The sequence below is a fragment of the Homo sapiens genome, chromosome 1 (assembly GCF_000001405.40).
Source record: "Homo sapiens chromosome 1, GRCh38.p14 Primary Assembly".
In the NCBI taxonomy this organism is placed as follows: Eukaryota; Metazoa; Chordata; class Mammalia; order Primates; family Hominidae; genus Homo; species Homo sapiens.
This window is the reverse complement of record NC_000001.11, coordinates 144,361,187-144,377,273: the sequence shown is the minus strand read 5'-3', so window position 1 is coordinate 144,377,273 and position 16,087 is coordinate 144,361,187. Positions and strand designations below refer to the sequence as shown.

Below are 16,087 nucleotides of genomic sequence, written 5' to 3'. Positions count from 1 at the left end.
GCAGATTAGAGTCTGCTACCTGCGTGAATACTTGTTTTTCATGAACTATGAGGATGCCCTTAGCTTTTGAACCACTTCTACTTGTGTTGAAATTTACCCTTTAATTTTGGGGTTTGACAGGCTCTGCCCTTCTGTTATGCTTGAGTCTGGCTTTTCCTACTCTGACTCACTTTGATTCTTGACCTCTGAATCTTATTCCTATTTTACAATAAACACACATCGCACATACGCCAATTAGTAGAGTGGAAGAGGGAAAAATTGCCAAGGAACTATGTTTAATTTTGTTCCTTTCGCAAACCAGACACCATAACAGAAAAATTTTAGGAACATGTGCATGTTCAGTAGCCTTCAATGCAATTATACTGGTTATTAAAAAGTGTTGGATAATCAATATTTTTTAAAGATTCACTAGTCCCTTCTGATAATTTTAGAACTTTGGGAAGTAATAATACAAATGTATTTTTAGCTGTGTCCTTTAATCTTTTACTGTTTCCTCTATGTGTGGTGTTTGGTTTGTGTGTGTGTGATAATTATTATAAAGATCAGAGGCTAACAGAGGTGTTAATCACGAACTTTTAAATTTTTTTTATTTTTATTTTTTTAGTTTTTTTAAGAGACAGAGTCTCACAGTGTTGCCAAGGCTGGATGCAGTCGCGCCAACTCAGCTCACTGCAACCTTCGCCTTCAGGGTTCAAGCGATTCTGCTGCCTCAGCCTCCCAAGTAGCTGGGACTGCAGGAGGGCACCACGATGCCCCACTAATTTTTGTATTTTTAGTAGAGATGTGGTTTCACCATATTGGCCAGGCTGGTCTTGAACTCCTGATCTCATGATCCGCCCACCTCAGCTTCCCTAAGTGCTGGGATTACAGGCGTGAGCCACCGCGTCTGGCTGCATGACCTTTTAACTTGTCTCATACACTCAATATTCTCAAGATATACCTTCCAAAGTGCAAAATTATGGCACTTTGCAGCCCTGACCACTAACTGAGAACTTTGATGCTTTGGATTTTGGAGACCTCATTTTATCACCTGGTCCTTTTACTTCATGACTTGTCATGCTGCCACCTTTTGATGGGATTGAGATGAAGATAATAATTCCCAACTGGTCAGGAATATTGTGCCCCTTTGTTTTTATATCCAGATGCAATAGAGCCTCTGACACACCACTACTATTGTTCTTAGGATTTGGAACAAAATGCATTTCTTTGACAAAATAAATGTTTTCTTTAAAGAACTCTTGATTGATCCTGGACCATTGTAGAAACTGAAGTCCTATCAATGCAAAAAAATATGACAACATGAGCTGCTTATCATGAAATAAGTGTTTTCCAATTAACTATCCTGCTTCATCAGCAGGTAGGAATAATAGAATCTATACCTATGTCTTCATGGGAAGTTCTCTATGGCCAGTTGATTAGTGAGGGAAAAATTGAGCCTGATTTACAGAAGTCACTGTACAACATCACAGCAGCAGCCAAAAGTAGATTGCTTAGGCATTATAACCTACGTGAATGCAATTTTAAAAGAAATTCAGCCTATGTAATTGGTTGTCCACGATGTCTAGAAGGAGAGATATTATTGATGTATATGTGGCAGCTAATAATTTGTCTAGATAATTAGGGACTTGGGGCCAGGCCTGATGGCTCACACCTGTAATCCCAGAACTTTTGGAGGACAGGACAGGTGGATTGTCTGAGGTCAGGAGTTCGAAACCAGCCTGGCTGACATGGTGAAACTCCGTCTCTACTAAAAATACAAAAATTAGCCAGATGTGGTGGTGTGTGCCTGCAATCCTAGCTACTTGGGAGGCTGAGGCAGGAGAATCTCTTGAATCCAGGAGGAAGAAGTTGCAGTGAACCAAGATTGCACCACTGCACTCCAGCCTGGGCAACAAAGCGAAACTCTGTCTCAAAAAAAAAAAAAAAAAAAAGAAAAGAAAAGATAATTAGGGACTCGGAAAGACAAAGACTGAAGGATTGGTGGCAATGAGTTTTGGGGAAAAAATATGTAGATGAACCACAGAAAATGAGCCAGAGTGTAAGAATATTTGTGCTTAATACGAATGCTCACCAAACTATCATCAGGAAGGTTATCAAATAGATATGAAGGTATGAAACAATCTCTTTCACCAGGCACTACATTGCTTGCTTAGAAGGCTAATAAACAGCAACATTGGTGGTAGCAGTAGAGAATACACATAGGTTTAGCAACATGTTGGACTTTACCACTCTCGCTTACAAAAGCCTATTTAGCTGTCAAGACTATTAGGTGTCCAACACACAAGCAACAAAGTCCAAGGCTAAGCACACAATAACATATCCTGGGTGAATAAACCAGTCACCTTTTGTCAGACTTGTTGATTTTATTGGAACTCCTCTATGATAAAGGCAACAAGGAATTTTGTAAATGGAATCTACCTTTAACCTTGAATTACATTTGCTTTACCTGACATCATTTTTCTCTGATCGCCACTCTCCACGGGTACATTGAATGCCTTATATATACTGCCATAATATCCTGTTCTACATCCTTCTCTTAAAAGAACTTGTTGTATAACAAATGAGTAGATATTCATTGGACTCACCTGGTCCACCATTTATCCTATCACTAACCAAAATTATTATTATTACAGAATGGTGAATATTTTATTAAAGACTCAATCACAGTGCCAGCTGGAGACAATGGCTTATAAGGTTGTACTCATGCTAGAGGATGTGGTGGTGTATCCTCTGAACTAGTAACTAAGTATAAGCTTGTCTGGTGTCTCCTATATAAAAAATACAACAATCTTTGATATTTGTTATGAATGTTGAAGTGACTCCTTTTGTCATTACATCTAATGATCCACTCCAAATACTTGTCTCTTGTCTCTGAGATTCTAGGTTTTTGCAGAATTAGTACCCAAAGGGAGAGTCTTAGCAGTATTCCATTTTACAATCCATCCTTCGTTAGAGGATGAGAGACTTCTATCTAGCCTTTTAGGTTGCCTGAGACCTTTAAACAAACAGTCAAAAATTTAAAATTTAAAATGCGGCTACACTGTGGCATGGGGTAGTAAATCTTGACCTTAAAACTGGTATTTGTAAGAAAAACAGAAAGAATTCAGGGATCCCCTTTGATGGCTCCTAATTCTATACAGTCCTGTAAATATTCCTGAAGACTAACCAGGCATGGTGGTGCACACCTGTAATCCCAGCTACTCCAGAGGCTGAGGAAGAGAATCACTTGAACCTGGGAGGCGGAGGTTGCAATGAGCTGAGATTGTGCCACTTCACTCCAGCCTGGGTGACAGAGCAAGACTCTGTCTCAAAAAAAAAAAAAAAAAAAGAAGAAAGAAAGAAAGAAAGAAAGAAAGAAAGAAAGAAAGAAAGAAAGAAAGAAAGAAATGAAGACTGCCACAACTTGGAAGCAACCAAGATGTCCTTCAATAGGTGACTGCATAAGCAAACTGTGGTATATTCCTACAGTGGAATATTATTCAGTGCTAAAAGGAAAAAACTATCAAGCCACAAAAAGATACAGAAAAACAAAGACATTTTGCTAAGTGAAAGAAGCCAGTCTGAAAAGGGTACATACTGTGATTTCAACTATACAACACTCTGGAAAAGGCCAAACTATAAAGACAGTGAAAAGATCAGTGGTTATCTTTGCAGACGCCACCATCGCTGTGAGCCCTGTACTATCAGCCATGGTCAACTCCGTCGTCTTTTTTGAAATCACCAGGGATGGCAAGCCCTTGGGCCGCATCTCCATCAAACTGTTTGCAGACAAGATTCCAAAGACAGCAGAAAACTTTCGTGCTCTGAGCACTGGAGAGAAAGGATTTCGTTATAAGGGTTCCTGCTTTCACAGAATTATTCCAGGGTTTATGTGTCAGGGTGGTGACTTCACACGCCCTAATGGCACCGGTGACAAGTCCATCTATGGGGAGAAATTTGATGATGAGAACCTCATCCGAAAGCATACAGGTTCTGGCATCTTGTCCATGGCAAATGCTGGACCCAACACAAATGGTTCCCAGTTTTTCATCTGCGCTGCCAAGACTGAGTGGTTGGATGGCAAGCATGTGGCGTTTGGCAAGGTGAAAGAACGTGTGAATATTGTGGAAGCCATGGAGCACTTTGGGTACAGGAATAGCAAGACCAGCAAGAAGATCACCATTGCTGACTGTGGACAATTCTAATGAGTTTGACTTGTGTTTTATTTTCACCACCAGACCCATTCCTTCTGTAGCTCAGGAGAGCACCCCTCCACCACATTTGCTTGCAATATCCTAGAATCTTTGTGCTCTTGCTGCAGTTCCCTTTGGGTTCCATGTTTTCCTTGTTCCCTTCCATGCCTAGCTGGATTGCAGAGTTGAGTTAAGTTTATGATTATGAAATAAAAACTAAGTAACAACAACAACAACAAAAAAGCTCAGTGGTTGCCAGGAGTTTGGGGATGGGTAGGGAGATAAATAGTTCTGAAACAGGCGATTTTTAGGGGATTGAAAATACGTTGGTAATAATGTAATGATGGGTACATGACATTATGCGTTTTGCAAAACTCCTAGACCTGTACCACACAAAGAGTGAACTCTAATGTAAACTGGGGGTGGGATAAAGGTGACAGTATGTGAGAACTCTGTACTTTCTGCTCGATCTTTCCATAAAGCTAAAACTGCTCAAAAAATAAAGTCTATTATTTTGTTAAATGAAAGAAATTAACAATGACCATGGCACGCTCACACAAAAAGATTATCAAGGACATTTCTCTGTCAGGAATGAATATTTGGTCATCTCACAAGGCAAAACCCTGACTAGCAGAGGTGTTAGCTGAGGGCACATGGCCATAGATGCCAATAGTGACCTGCTGGCCACTTGCAGAAAGGAGAGCCTTTACATCCAAACACATTGTTTCTCTTGTATTGTCCTGTGCATACTTATGTATCTTAACAACTTTCCTTCTTTCCTCTCCATTTATCCCTCTTTTTAAAACAGGGCTTATTGAGGGTGATTAACTTAATTTTTAAATGATATATGGCAGAATGTCAAGAGAGTATAGTGAAGAACTTCGTAGAGGAATGGACATAACCCAGAATTCTTAGACTTAGAGTACATGCTGTGATTGAGAATTTTTTATTGTTTCATTGTTCAAGAGATTGTAGGTACATGTTCAATTATTAGAGAAATAGTTGCACTCTGTTAGAAGGAAGCTTGGGTCTTTCGTGTTTACTTTCAAAAGGGAAAGTTTATATTGATATTGAGCAAGTTAAAGCATGAATATTTACTATTTGATGTTTGTTCCTGTGTTTGAGGAATTCCTCAGCCTCTCAGTTTTGACGAAAACAAGAAACCACCTCCTGCTTTAGAAGCTAAAATGTCAAATGCTTGCTTTCTCAGCCTCCTTTGCAGCTATCTGTTGCAAAGCGAACAAGTGGGAGTGGTGCTGGTGGCTTTGCAGTTAGCCTAGGATTGAGCAATTGCTGCAATTGTTGCTCTCTGCATCTTCGGTGTTACTTCTTACTGGTGGTGACAGTGGTTTCCTCCCTGGATGAGTTCTACAGCATGGTTTGGGGTACATTTCCTGGCTGCCTAGCTTTGATCTGGCTCTCTAGCCTTCTCAACAGTTCTACAAGTTCCCCACTATTTCTGTGATAAACCTATTTATTGTTAATGTCAGCCATAATTGGCTTCTGTGGTTTATATTTTTTAAAATTCCAAGATATACCAATGTAACAGATAGCTCAACAAACATATGTCTTTTTAAATTAAGATATATTCTGTGTCACATGAAGTACAATGGACAAAATGCAACAAATTGAATTGAGCTAAAGACCAAATATATATTAAGCCTGGCTGGTCTTAAAAATGTAACTGGATACAGCCAGGCATGGTGGCTCACGCCTATAATCCCAGCACTTTGGGATCCTGAGGTGGGCAGATCACCTGAAGTCAGGAGTTTGAGACCAGCCTGGCCAGCATGGTGAAACCCCATCTCTACTAAAAATGCAAAAATTAGCTGGGTGTGGTGGTATGCCCCTGTAATCCCAGCTACTCGGGAGGTTGAGGCAGGAGAATCACTTGAACCTGGGAGGCAGAGGTTGCAGTGAGCCCAGATCATGCCAATGCACTCCAGCTTTGGCAACAGAGTGAGACTTTGTTTCAAAATAAAAAAATAAAAATAAAAAAATAAAAACGTAACTGGATAGACCTAAGGATCTTGAATAAGCAGAAAATAATTTAGGTAAAAGCCAAATAATAAACTAACATTCTGAAAGGTTTAGGATTTGGAGGCCCAAATGTCTTAGCTAAAAGTGTTCATTCTAACCTCACAGGAAAATTGAAATATGAAAATATACAGAAAAATCTTAGGCAGTATTTATCAATTTTAAGAAACAACTATTTACAGGTTTTTCAATAGGCATTACATTAAAAACAAAATATATAGTTAATAAATATGAAAACTGTGGATATAATCAACACATTTATTTTACTTCTTGAAGTGTTAACATGTGCTGTCTCAAATATCAACAGTGTACACGTGAGAAAAAACATTTTACATAGATTTTCTGCGACAGAAAACAGCATCTCATTAGACATCCCAAGTTTTTTTCATTTGGAACACACACTCATTCCCCAGTATACTAGGGGTAATAATAATTTAGAGTTTAATTACTTTTTACTACTAGAAAACTAATTTTATGTTTGGCACAAATTTCTGAAATGATATTCCACTGCAAAGAATAATACCTATATATGGCCAGAATTACTTTTTTTCTATAACATTAAGATAATACTTGTCAGCCTGAGCAACAAAGTGAGACCTCATCTTTACAAAAAATAAATAAATTAGACGGGTGTTGTGGTGATGAGGGTCTGTAGTCCCAGATACTCAAGAGGCTGAGGTGGGAGGATCCCTTGAGCCTAGGAGGTCGCGGTTGCAGTGAACTATGATTGCACCACTGCACTCCAGCCTGGGTAACAGAGCAAGATCCTCTCTCAAAAAAAAAAAAAAAAAAAAAAAAAAGATAATATTGGTATAATTCAGGGTTTTTGCCTCAATCCCCATGCTTCTTCATTTGACCTTCCCTGACTCCCTGATGAATTTTAGTTTGAATTTTTGCTATAGTCCAGAAGTTAATTTAAAAGATCTTAAAATTTCCACCTGCCTAGATATTACTTATTTGTTACACTTTAGTCCATGATTTCTATTGTCATTTACATTACCCCAAAAATATGACCTGCTGAATTTCTGCTGTCATGAATTGACTAACATATTTTGGGCCTAAAACCTTTACATTTAGAATCTTTTTGTTTCGTATTGGAAAATATTGTAAGTCCTCCATTTATTGGTCAAAAGCACTGCCTATTTATTTCCATGCTTAATCAGAGAGACTTTCTAATAGTTATTTAATATTATTTACGTTCATTCACTTGTTGACTATAATGACGTTAGTTGCTATGATATTTTTAGGTCATTAATATAATAAAAATATGTCAACTTTTCTCTTCTGATGTGTCTTTGGGTTATTAATTTTTAACTCAGGTATCAAGCTTGTAAAATGTTTAATGGCTTATAATAATGTCTAACACATAGTATCCACTGAGTTCTGATAACTCTGGTTTATCAAATTCTCTTTTTTTGTACCATTCTCCAAATGCAATGCTATTTGGTTTTATTTTTATTTTTTAAAAATGTGCTGCCTGTTTTGAGTCTCTAAAAGTGTGAAATGCTCAGCATTTCCCAAATGTATTTGAACATGGAGTGTTATATTTACTAAAAAGTTAACAAGCAAGTATTCCCCTAAACACTCTAGCAAATACTACTAGTACAGACAAATTATGATGTAACATTATAGTACATTTTAACTTATTAGGTTAATTTTGGTTGCAAACAATCAAAATTCAAAATGGCTTGTATAATAAAGAGATTTTGAACAATAGTATAGGCTCAAGATAGCTTAATGCAGAAGTTTAATAATGACACAAAATAAATGCTTCTTGTCCTCCCTGTTTCTTCACTCTACCTTAAGTGATATAGATTGAATGTTTGTAGTCCCCCAAAATTTGTATGTTTAAATCTAATCCCTAGTGTGATGATATTTGGCAGTGGGTCTTCGGGGGGTGATTAGGTCATGAGGACAGAGCCCTCATGAATGGGATTAGTGCCCTTATAAAAGAGACCTTAGAGAACTTCCTTGCCCCTTCCTCCATGTGAGGACACAGCAAAAAGACAGCTGTCTGTGAACCAGGAAACAAATCCTCATTAGACCCTGAATCTGTTGACACCATGATCTTGGACTTCCTGGCCTCTAGAACTGTAAGAAATAAATTTATGTTGTTCATAAACCATCCAGGCTGTGATATTCTGGTATAGCGACCTGAAAGGACTAAGACATTAGGTCTCAGTTTTATTCTATGGCTTAAAATATCATGTCATGAGTAGACAACTTCCAATCCTAGTACCTCGTGCTTCCTCTGCTGCATTTGGAAAGAAGGCATTTCCCTCTTCAATCATGGAATGAAAAAGTTGTACTTCATTCTGATTTGATTAGCAGAAGGCACACGTTCCTTCCATGCACCAATTAAAATGACCAAGAATTGGGCATGGGACTCATGTCACTTAAACATTGTGAAGCTGAGAAATTCATTATTTGGTTAGGAGTGTGTGAGAGCAGGGAACACTGAATGCTTGAGACACCACCACGATGTCCACTACATGTATTTCCATTTCAGTAAACATTTCCATTAAGATAATGCTAGAACAAAATCAGAGGAGTAGATCTTGGTGTCCCCAACTTTTGTTGACCTAACAAAGTGAAGTTGCTTCAACTGGACACTTCTGAACCACATTTATGCCTATATGTTCAGTTCAAATTTATTATAAGCAATTTTCAGGTCCATATGTTTAGGATATTTCATTTGTTTGGTTATGCATTATATGTATACATGTTTTTAACATACATACGCCTCTACATATATTTTGGAGGCCTTTACACAAAAGTGTTTTCCCTGAAGGGAGAAGAGAAAAGTTGAATGCAGAAGTAGAAAAAAAAAATTCATTTGCACTTGTAGTAGTTATATCTAAATATTTTATATTACAGATGTATTAAAATTTTTATAATTTTAAACACTACTTTAAAACAGGGAGATGGTTTACCTTCAAAAAATTTGGCTCTCAACTCAAAGTTATCAAAGTATATCCTAGATGTAGTTTGCTTGTCAGGCTTCTACATGAAAATCTAAAATGCTCCTGCATTTCAGAATGAGCCTAACATATGTAATTGCACTCATCCACTATGTCTACATTGCCAACCAAATACTGACAGAGAGAGCTAGAGTGCCACAGAGAGCTGGCAGTTCCTCTGTTTGCATTAGCTTCTACTTGCTTCTTCATCTTTCCTCTATGTCTGACACATTTCATGTTACTGTTTTTAAATGTTCCCTTAGCTACAGAGCTAATGTGCTTATATCTGTAAGGGGTCTCATGTGAACCTCTAAATAATTAAAGATTCATTAGCTCCCTGGAGGGCCACCATGATTTCCAAAACAAGTCACAATACCTAAAGATCTAATTGTACAATTTCCCTCAGAAATAGCCTTGAGAAAGAAGTCACATCACTCAGCAATGAGTATTATAATTACTCACAGCAGTTTTCATGGTACTATATAACATCCAATTTACAGAATTAAAGGTAATGTAATTCAAAAGAAAAATAGCTGGTTTTAAGGAATGAAGGGCCATGTCAACTATTGGAAGCATCTTTGAACTGGAGCCTCTATGTTCGGGTTTCACCAGGTTTATGTTTTTAATTAATATCCGATTCAGCTTCCTGTAATTTCCATTGAGGTTTTCTAGAACAAGACAAGTCAGAAATTGATCTTTAATTATAAGCTAAGAGCAAACTGCCAAAGAACTGAGAGAAATTTTGAAGAAACAGGTCTATCAGGACTAACCATTTTAAGATAATAAAGACTAATCAGACACACACACATATGCACAAAAAGAGGGAGAGAGAGAACAAAAATCCTATGAAATACATTTTAAAAACTTAATTTTTTTAAGAAGAAGCATTTGATCTGCCAAAGAGAAGAGTTAGCAGTTTGGAGATCTGACATTGCTAATCTCAGGGCAAGAAAATAACAAAATAAGACACCAAAGAATTACCTAAACTGTGGAAGATGAAGCTTTCAGAGTTCTCACAGAGAAATGGGATACTAAAGTACCAAGTTTAAGAGGTGTAATCTATTAATGTTTAATTTATGTCCCAAATACTTAAAAACTATGTTTCATTGTTATACATATTTATTTTATTATAAAGATAATGAATGCAGTAGGGTTAGATTTAAATAATTCATTGGGTTTAAAATGAGAAATGAAAGTCTGGCTTTTTACAACCTACAGTCTTATCACCAAAGTTAGCTATTGTTAATAACTTCTTGTCCATTCTTGTATGTGTTATGGTTTCTTTCTTAGAAAGAAGTATGCTATACTAGTATACATGCTATTTATTCATGAACCTTGCACTTATCATGTAATCATATGTCTTAGTGGTCTTTTCATAATAGATGTCTCTCTTTCCCACGCTGTCAGTGGTGATTGCATGAGGCATTGTACAGACGTACCAATAATTACTTACTCTGTGTCATATTGTTGGTTATTCAGATTGTTTTCACTTTGCCCTTGCAGACAACACTGCAACGAACATCCTTATGCATATCTTATTCCAAATACATCATCGTGATGGCTGTGTGAGAGAAATATACATTGTTGATTTTATTTTTTTATTTTTTATAATTTCAACTTTTGATTTTAGATACAGTGGGTACATGTGCAGGTTTGTTACATGGGTATGTTGTGTAATGCTGAGGTTTGCAGCATGATTGATCCGATCACTCAGGTACTAGGCATAGTAGTTGTTTTTCAACCTTTACCCCCTCCCTCCTTCTACCCTCGAGTAGTCCCCAGTTTCTATTGTTCCCATCTTTGTGTCCACGTGTACTCAATGTTTAGCTCCTGCTTATAAGTGAGAATATGTGGTATTTGGTTTTCTATTCCTGTGTTAATTCGCTTAGCATAATGGCATCGAGTTGCATCCACGTTGCTGTAAAGGACATGATTTTATTATTTTTTATGGCTGCAAAGTATTCCATGACATATATGTACCATATTTTCTTTATCCAATCCACAGTTGATGGGCACCTAGGTTGATTCCATGTCTTAGCGATTGTGAATTACACTGCTGATTTTAATAGAAACCACTAATTTTTATGCCAAAAAAATCATCAATGTGCACATGCTCCAAGGCTGTGTGAGCATAGCCCTTTTCCTTGGGATGTCAACAACACTGGGTTTTATCAAAATATAATTTTTGCCAATTTATTAGTTAACAAATGCTAACTCAGTGCTATTTGGATTTGAACTACCACTGGTGCTGAGCAACTTTTTACATAGTCACTGGCAATTTATTTATCTTTCTCTGTTGTTTATCTTTTTCTGTGTAATAATTTTCCCTATCTTCTACTCTTTTAAACATTAAGTTTTCACTGTTTTCTTAATAATTTTTAAGTTTAAAAAGTGACCTTTTGGCTGGGCGCAGTGGCTCACGCCTGTAATCCCAACACTTTGGGAGGCCAAGGCGGGTGGATCACAAGGTCAGGAGATCAAGACCATCCTGCCCAACATGGTGAAACCCCGTCTCTGCTAAAAATACAAAAATTGGCTGGGGTGGTGGCACGTGCCTGTAATCCCAGCTACTCGGGAGGCTGAGGCAGAAGAATCACTTGAACCAGGGAGTTGGAGGTTGTAATGAGCCAAGATCACGCCACTGTGCTCCAGCCTGGCGACAGAGCGAGACTCCGTCTCAAAAGAAAAAGTGACCATTTTATCTGCTGCATATAATTCTAATGATATTTCTCAATTCGTTTATCTTTTAACAATGGTAATATATAATGTCTTGCTATTTAGAAAGATTTTTAAAAGTATTTTACATAAAGAAATTTTTATTCTTTGCCATTAATACTTGCAGGTTTGGAATTTTCAGGACCTCCTCAAAGGCCACCTACAGGAAATGCTCTTCAAAGACATTTCACTTTTTCCCCACTTGATTGTGGAGCAAAGACTAACACTGGCAATGCTTTGAAGTACTTGAGTCAAATGGGTCTCTCATGTGGTCATTACTATACTCACTCTCAGGCTCCAATGCAAATTGTTTCCTTACGCCAACTACTCTTGCTTTCCTTTAATAGACCTATTCCTCCTGGGCTGTCTGAAACTAACATTTCATTGTAAATAAAGTCCTGCAAATCCTTGGTATCTCAAAGAACCCTCCTTCCATTTAGTTTTAGGAGAACTCTCCTTCTAAAACTCTATTCTTCTCCCTGGAGTCCAGATCCCCATTCCTTGCAACAAATGAACGCTTGATTTGAGCACTGAAGGGAGATAATTGGAAGTTTGACTTTGTGTTCTAGGTTTTCCCTGCCAATATATGCAGCGTCTTTAAAACTAATTGGGCTGAGGCAGGAGAACTGCTTGAACCCAGGAGGAGGAGGTTGCAGTGAGCCGAAATTGCACCATTGAACTCCAGCCTGGGTGATAGAGCAAGGCTCCATCTCAAAAAAAAAAAAAAAAAAACAGCAAAAAGAAACTAATTAGGTTCAAGAAGTTCGAATGAATTCAACTTAGACAAGCTCTTAAGCAGACATGTTGGAAGTTCCAGAAAAGACAGTTTGGGAAAATATTTTATTAAAAAAAAAAAAAGACTGCCCTCCACTTCCTCACTCTTTCTTCCCACTTATTTTCACTCCACTGGTGCAGTTTGGTGTCAACTCTCCTCACTCTACTGAAACTGCTGCAGCCGAGGTTACTAGTTATTTAATTAACAAAAGCAATAGATTTTGTTTTTTTTAATTGCATTATACTCTACTATTTTGTGACATTTAAACTATTGACAATGTCTTTCTTGAAAATGTGTCCTTTTTGTTTTTTTCAAAACACGACTTTCTCCTTGATGTCCTCCTTTTTCTCTCATTATTTCACCTTTACATTCTCTGCTGACACCTTTCACCTTACCAAACCTTAATTAAATGTGTATGCTTCCCAGTCTCCCATTCTTGGCTCTCTTCCCTTCCCTCTTATTGATCATTATTGTATTCTGTGATCTCACCAGTTCTCTTGGCTTTAACAATAACCAGATGACTCCAGAAAACTATTCAAAATTCCGGACCTATGGAGACTTTGCACCCAGATATGTACCAACAACTCAACCTCAGTTATCTCTAATATTATCTCATTAAGTGCCCTCTAACTACAGAATGACTCCTCCTTCTGGGTTTCCTCTGCCTGAATGGCACCACCATTCAGTGGCCCATGACAAATTTGGACCTCATTTGGAACTTCTCCCTTTCCCTCATGTTTCATTTTCTCTTGGCTAAAGAGTTATTAGATTCTTCATTTTTAGCTTTTCTCTAGCCTATCTTCAATTTTATAGTGGACAGTTATGTATATCCTATATCCCAGGAGAGAAGGGATATCTTCTTCTATGCCCATACTATGAACTAGCATATCCTTTGAGTCCTTTCTTTGTATGAAGCACTGGGGAAATTTAATCAACTTCATAATCACTTATAATCCTCACAGTAATTTTATGAGATAAGTTCTATTTATTATCCCTATCTTAAGGATGAGGAAACTGTGGTTTAAAGAGCTTAAGTAATTTGGGCAAATCATGAAAGAAGCAGTGAAGACAGAATTCAAATCTAGGCAACCTGAAATCTGAGCCTGAGCACTTTGCCTCCCTAATAACTATCTCCCTTTGAGAGTTGTATTACAAAGTTGACAACATTTAGCAACCCTTATTCCCCTCCCCACCCCTATCTCTCTCCAAGAAATCTGCTGTGAGGTAGAGAATGTGTTGATTTTCTCTGCAGTTTTTAGTGCATAGCATAGGGCTTAGAAAGGAGAAAATGATGAAAAATATTTATTAAAATAATTGTTTTTCTTTGATAGTTGTTATAACCATCGAATTGTGAGTGCTTAACAATTACTATAAAGGAGAATGGAAATCACAGATCTTTTCACAGAATTTTTTTTTTTTTTTTTGAGACAGAGTCCAGCTTGTCACCCAGGCTGGAGTGCAGTGGTGCGATCTCAGCTCACTGCAACCTCCACCTCCTGGGTTTAATCACTTGCCTTGGCCTCCTGAGTAGCTGAGATTACAGGTGTGCACCACCATGCCTGGCTAATTTTTGTATTTTTGGTAGAGATGGGGTTTCACCACATTGGCCAGGCTGGTCTCAAACTCCTGACCTCCAGTGATCCACCCATCTCAGACTCCCAAAGAGCTGGGATTATAGGCTTGAACCACCGTGCTGGGCCTTTCTTAGAGAATTTATAGTTTACCTGGAAATGTAAACTATATATATACTTAAACTGAGGGATATTTACAAAAGAGCTTTCTACTTAACCCACAAGAAGCTGTATTAATAACAAAGCAAATCAAGCTTGTTCACAGGCAACTGAATGGAATGAATGGTTTTGATTGGTGTTGCCAGTTATATTTCTAACAAGAGAAAATTCAATGTGAGCCTCATTTGGAAACAAGATATTACAGAGAGGAAAATTTGGGATTAAGGTCAGATTTGGTGCAACTATGCTAGATACAGAAAAGGCAAACTTTCAGCTCAATCCCCAGCTAAGTACAAGTTCAATGGTGAAGGCATAAGAAAATGAGCCATTATAATAAGTCTGAAATAAGTTTATGATTCCACCTCAATATGGGCATGCAATATATTCTAACATTTAATCCCTGGAAAAAATGATGACATCACACTGAAATCTTGACTCATAAGAGAACTTTTTTATGCTGTTCCCTAAGTCAGTTTATTTCTACTTCATTCTTGCGTTAAGGGTAGGCTCAATTCTTACTCATTCAAAAACGGTATCACCTGAAGCTTTTCTTTAATTCTTGTTTTCTCTGCAGTGAGAAAATTAATCAAGGGGTTAAAATGTATATTAAATTATATATGTATTATATGTAAAAGTTATATAATATAGATCAGAGAAGAATATATTGCATATGTTATAGGCTGAATTGTGTCCTTTCCCCAAATTAATATGCTGTACCCTGCCCCCTGCCATCCCAGTATATCAGAAGGTGGCTATATTTGGAGATAGAGACTTTTAAGAGGTAACTAATGTAAAATGAGGTCACATGTCTGGGTCCTAATCCAATATCACTGGTGTCCTTATTTGAAGAGGAAATTTAGGTACAGACATACATGTGCACAGAAAAAAGTCCATGAGAAGACAAGATGAGAAAATGACTATCTAAAAGCCAAGGAGAGAAATTTCAGAATAAAATTAACACATCTGATGCCTTGACCTCACACTTCTAGCCTCCAGAACCGTGAGAAAATAAATTTCTGTTGTTTAACTCACCCAGTCTGCAGTAATTGTTATAACAACCCTAGCAAAGTAATATAGGAAGTATATATATATATATATACACACATACATATATATATATACACATATTTGTGTGTGTGTGTGTGTGTATATATATATATATATATATATATATATATATATATATGTGATAGAGTAGATAGATAGAGACATATACAGTCATCCCTCAGTATTAGTGGGGTATTGCATTCAGGAGCCCTGCATATAAGGAAGTCTGCACATACTCAGGTCCCACAGTCAACCTTGCAGAGCTCGCATATGAAAAGTTGGCCCTCAACATATGTGGGTTTCACGTCCCACAAATACTATATTTTCAATCTGTATTTGGCTGAAAAAATCCACCTATAAGTGGACTCACACAGTTTAAACCAGTGTTATTCAAAGGTCAACTGTTGATATATAGATATATAAATATCTCATATGTATAGAGCAAGCGAGAGAAAAAATCTCTAATCTCTCTTCCTTCCTGCTCTTTTTGGATTGCAAACTCTTCTCTCATAAGTACAAAAAGTAATGTTAACAAAGTAAAGAGAATTGGAAATAGTAGTGTTTTTGACCACTAGTGTTTTGTAATTTTGGAAAAAAGAATTACTGAAATGTAACTTTTTATTTATATTGAGATGTTTTGACTCATACTCC

At 37.2% G+C, this 16,087-nt stretch overlaps 1 protein-coding gene across 1 annotated transcript, besides 1 other annotated feature; it reads left to right on the top strand.

The window, feature by feature from the left end:
* Positions 1-3,639: 3,639 nt before the first annotated feature.
* Positions 3,640-4,399, top strand: PPIAL4E (peptidylprolyl isomerase A like 4E). Its single transcript, NM_001144032.3, has one exon. It carries the CDS (start codon positions 3,690-3,692, stop codon positions 4,182-4,184), a length of 495 nt encoding a protein of 164 aa, NP_001137504.2. The 5' UTR covers positions 3,640-3,689; the 3' UTR covers positions 4,185-4,399.
* Positions 5,229-5,730: an enhancer, noted in NCBI's record as "OCT4 hESC enhancer chr1:148645625-148646126 (GRCh37/hg19 assembly coordinates)". NCBI's record gives its function as "activates a minimal SCP1, AML or CMV promoter by ChIP-STARR-seq in primed H9 embryonic stem cells {active_cell/tissue: H9 hESC(primed)}" and the evidence as "EXISTENCE:reporter gene assay evidence [ECO:0000049][PMID:30033119]".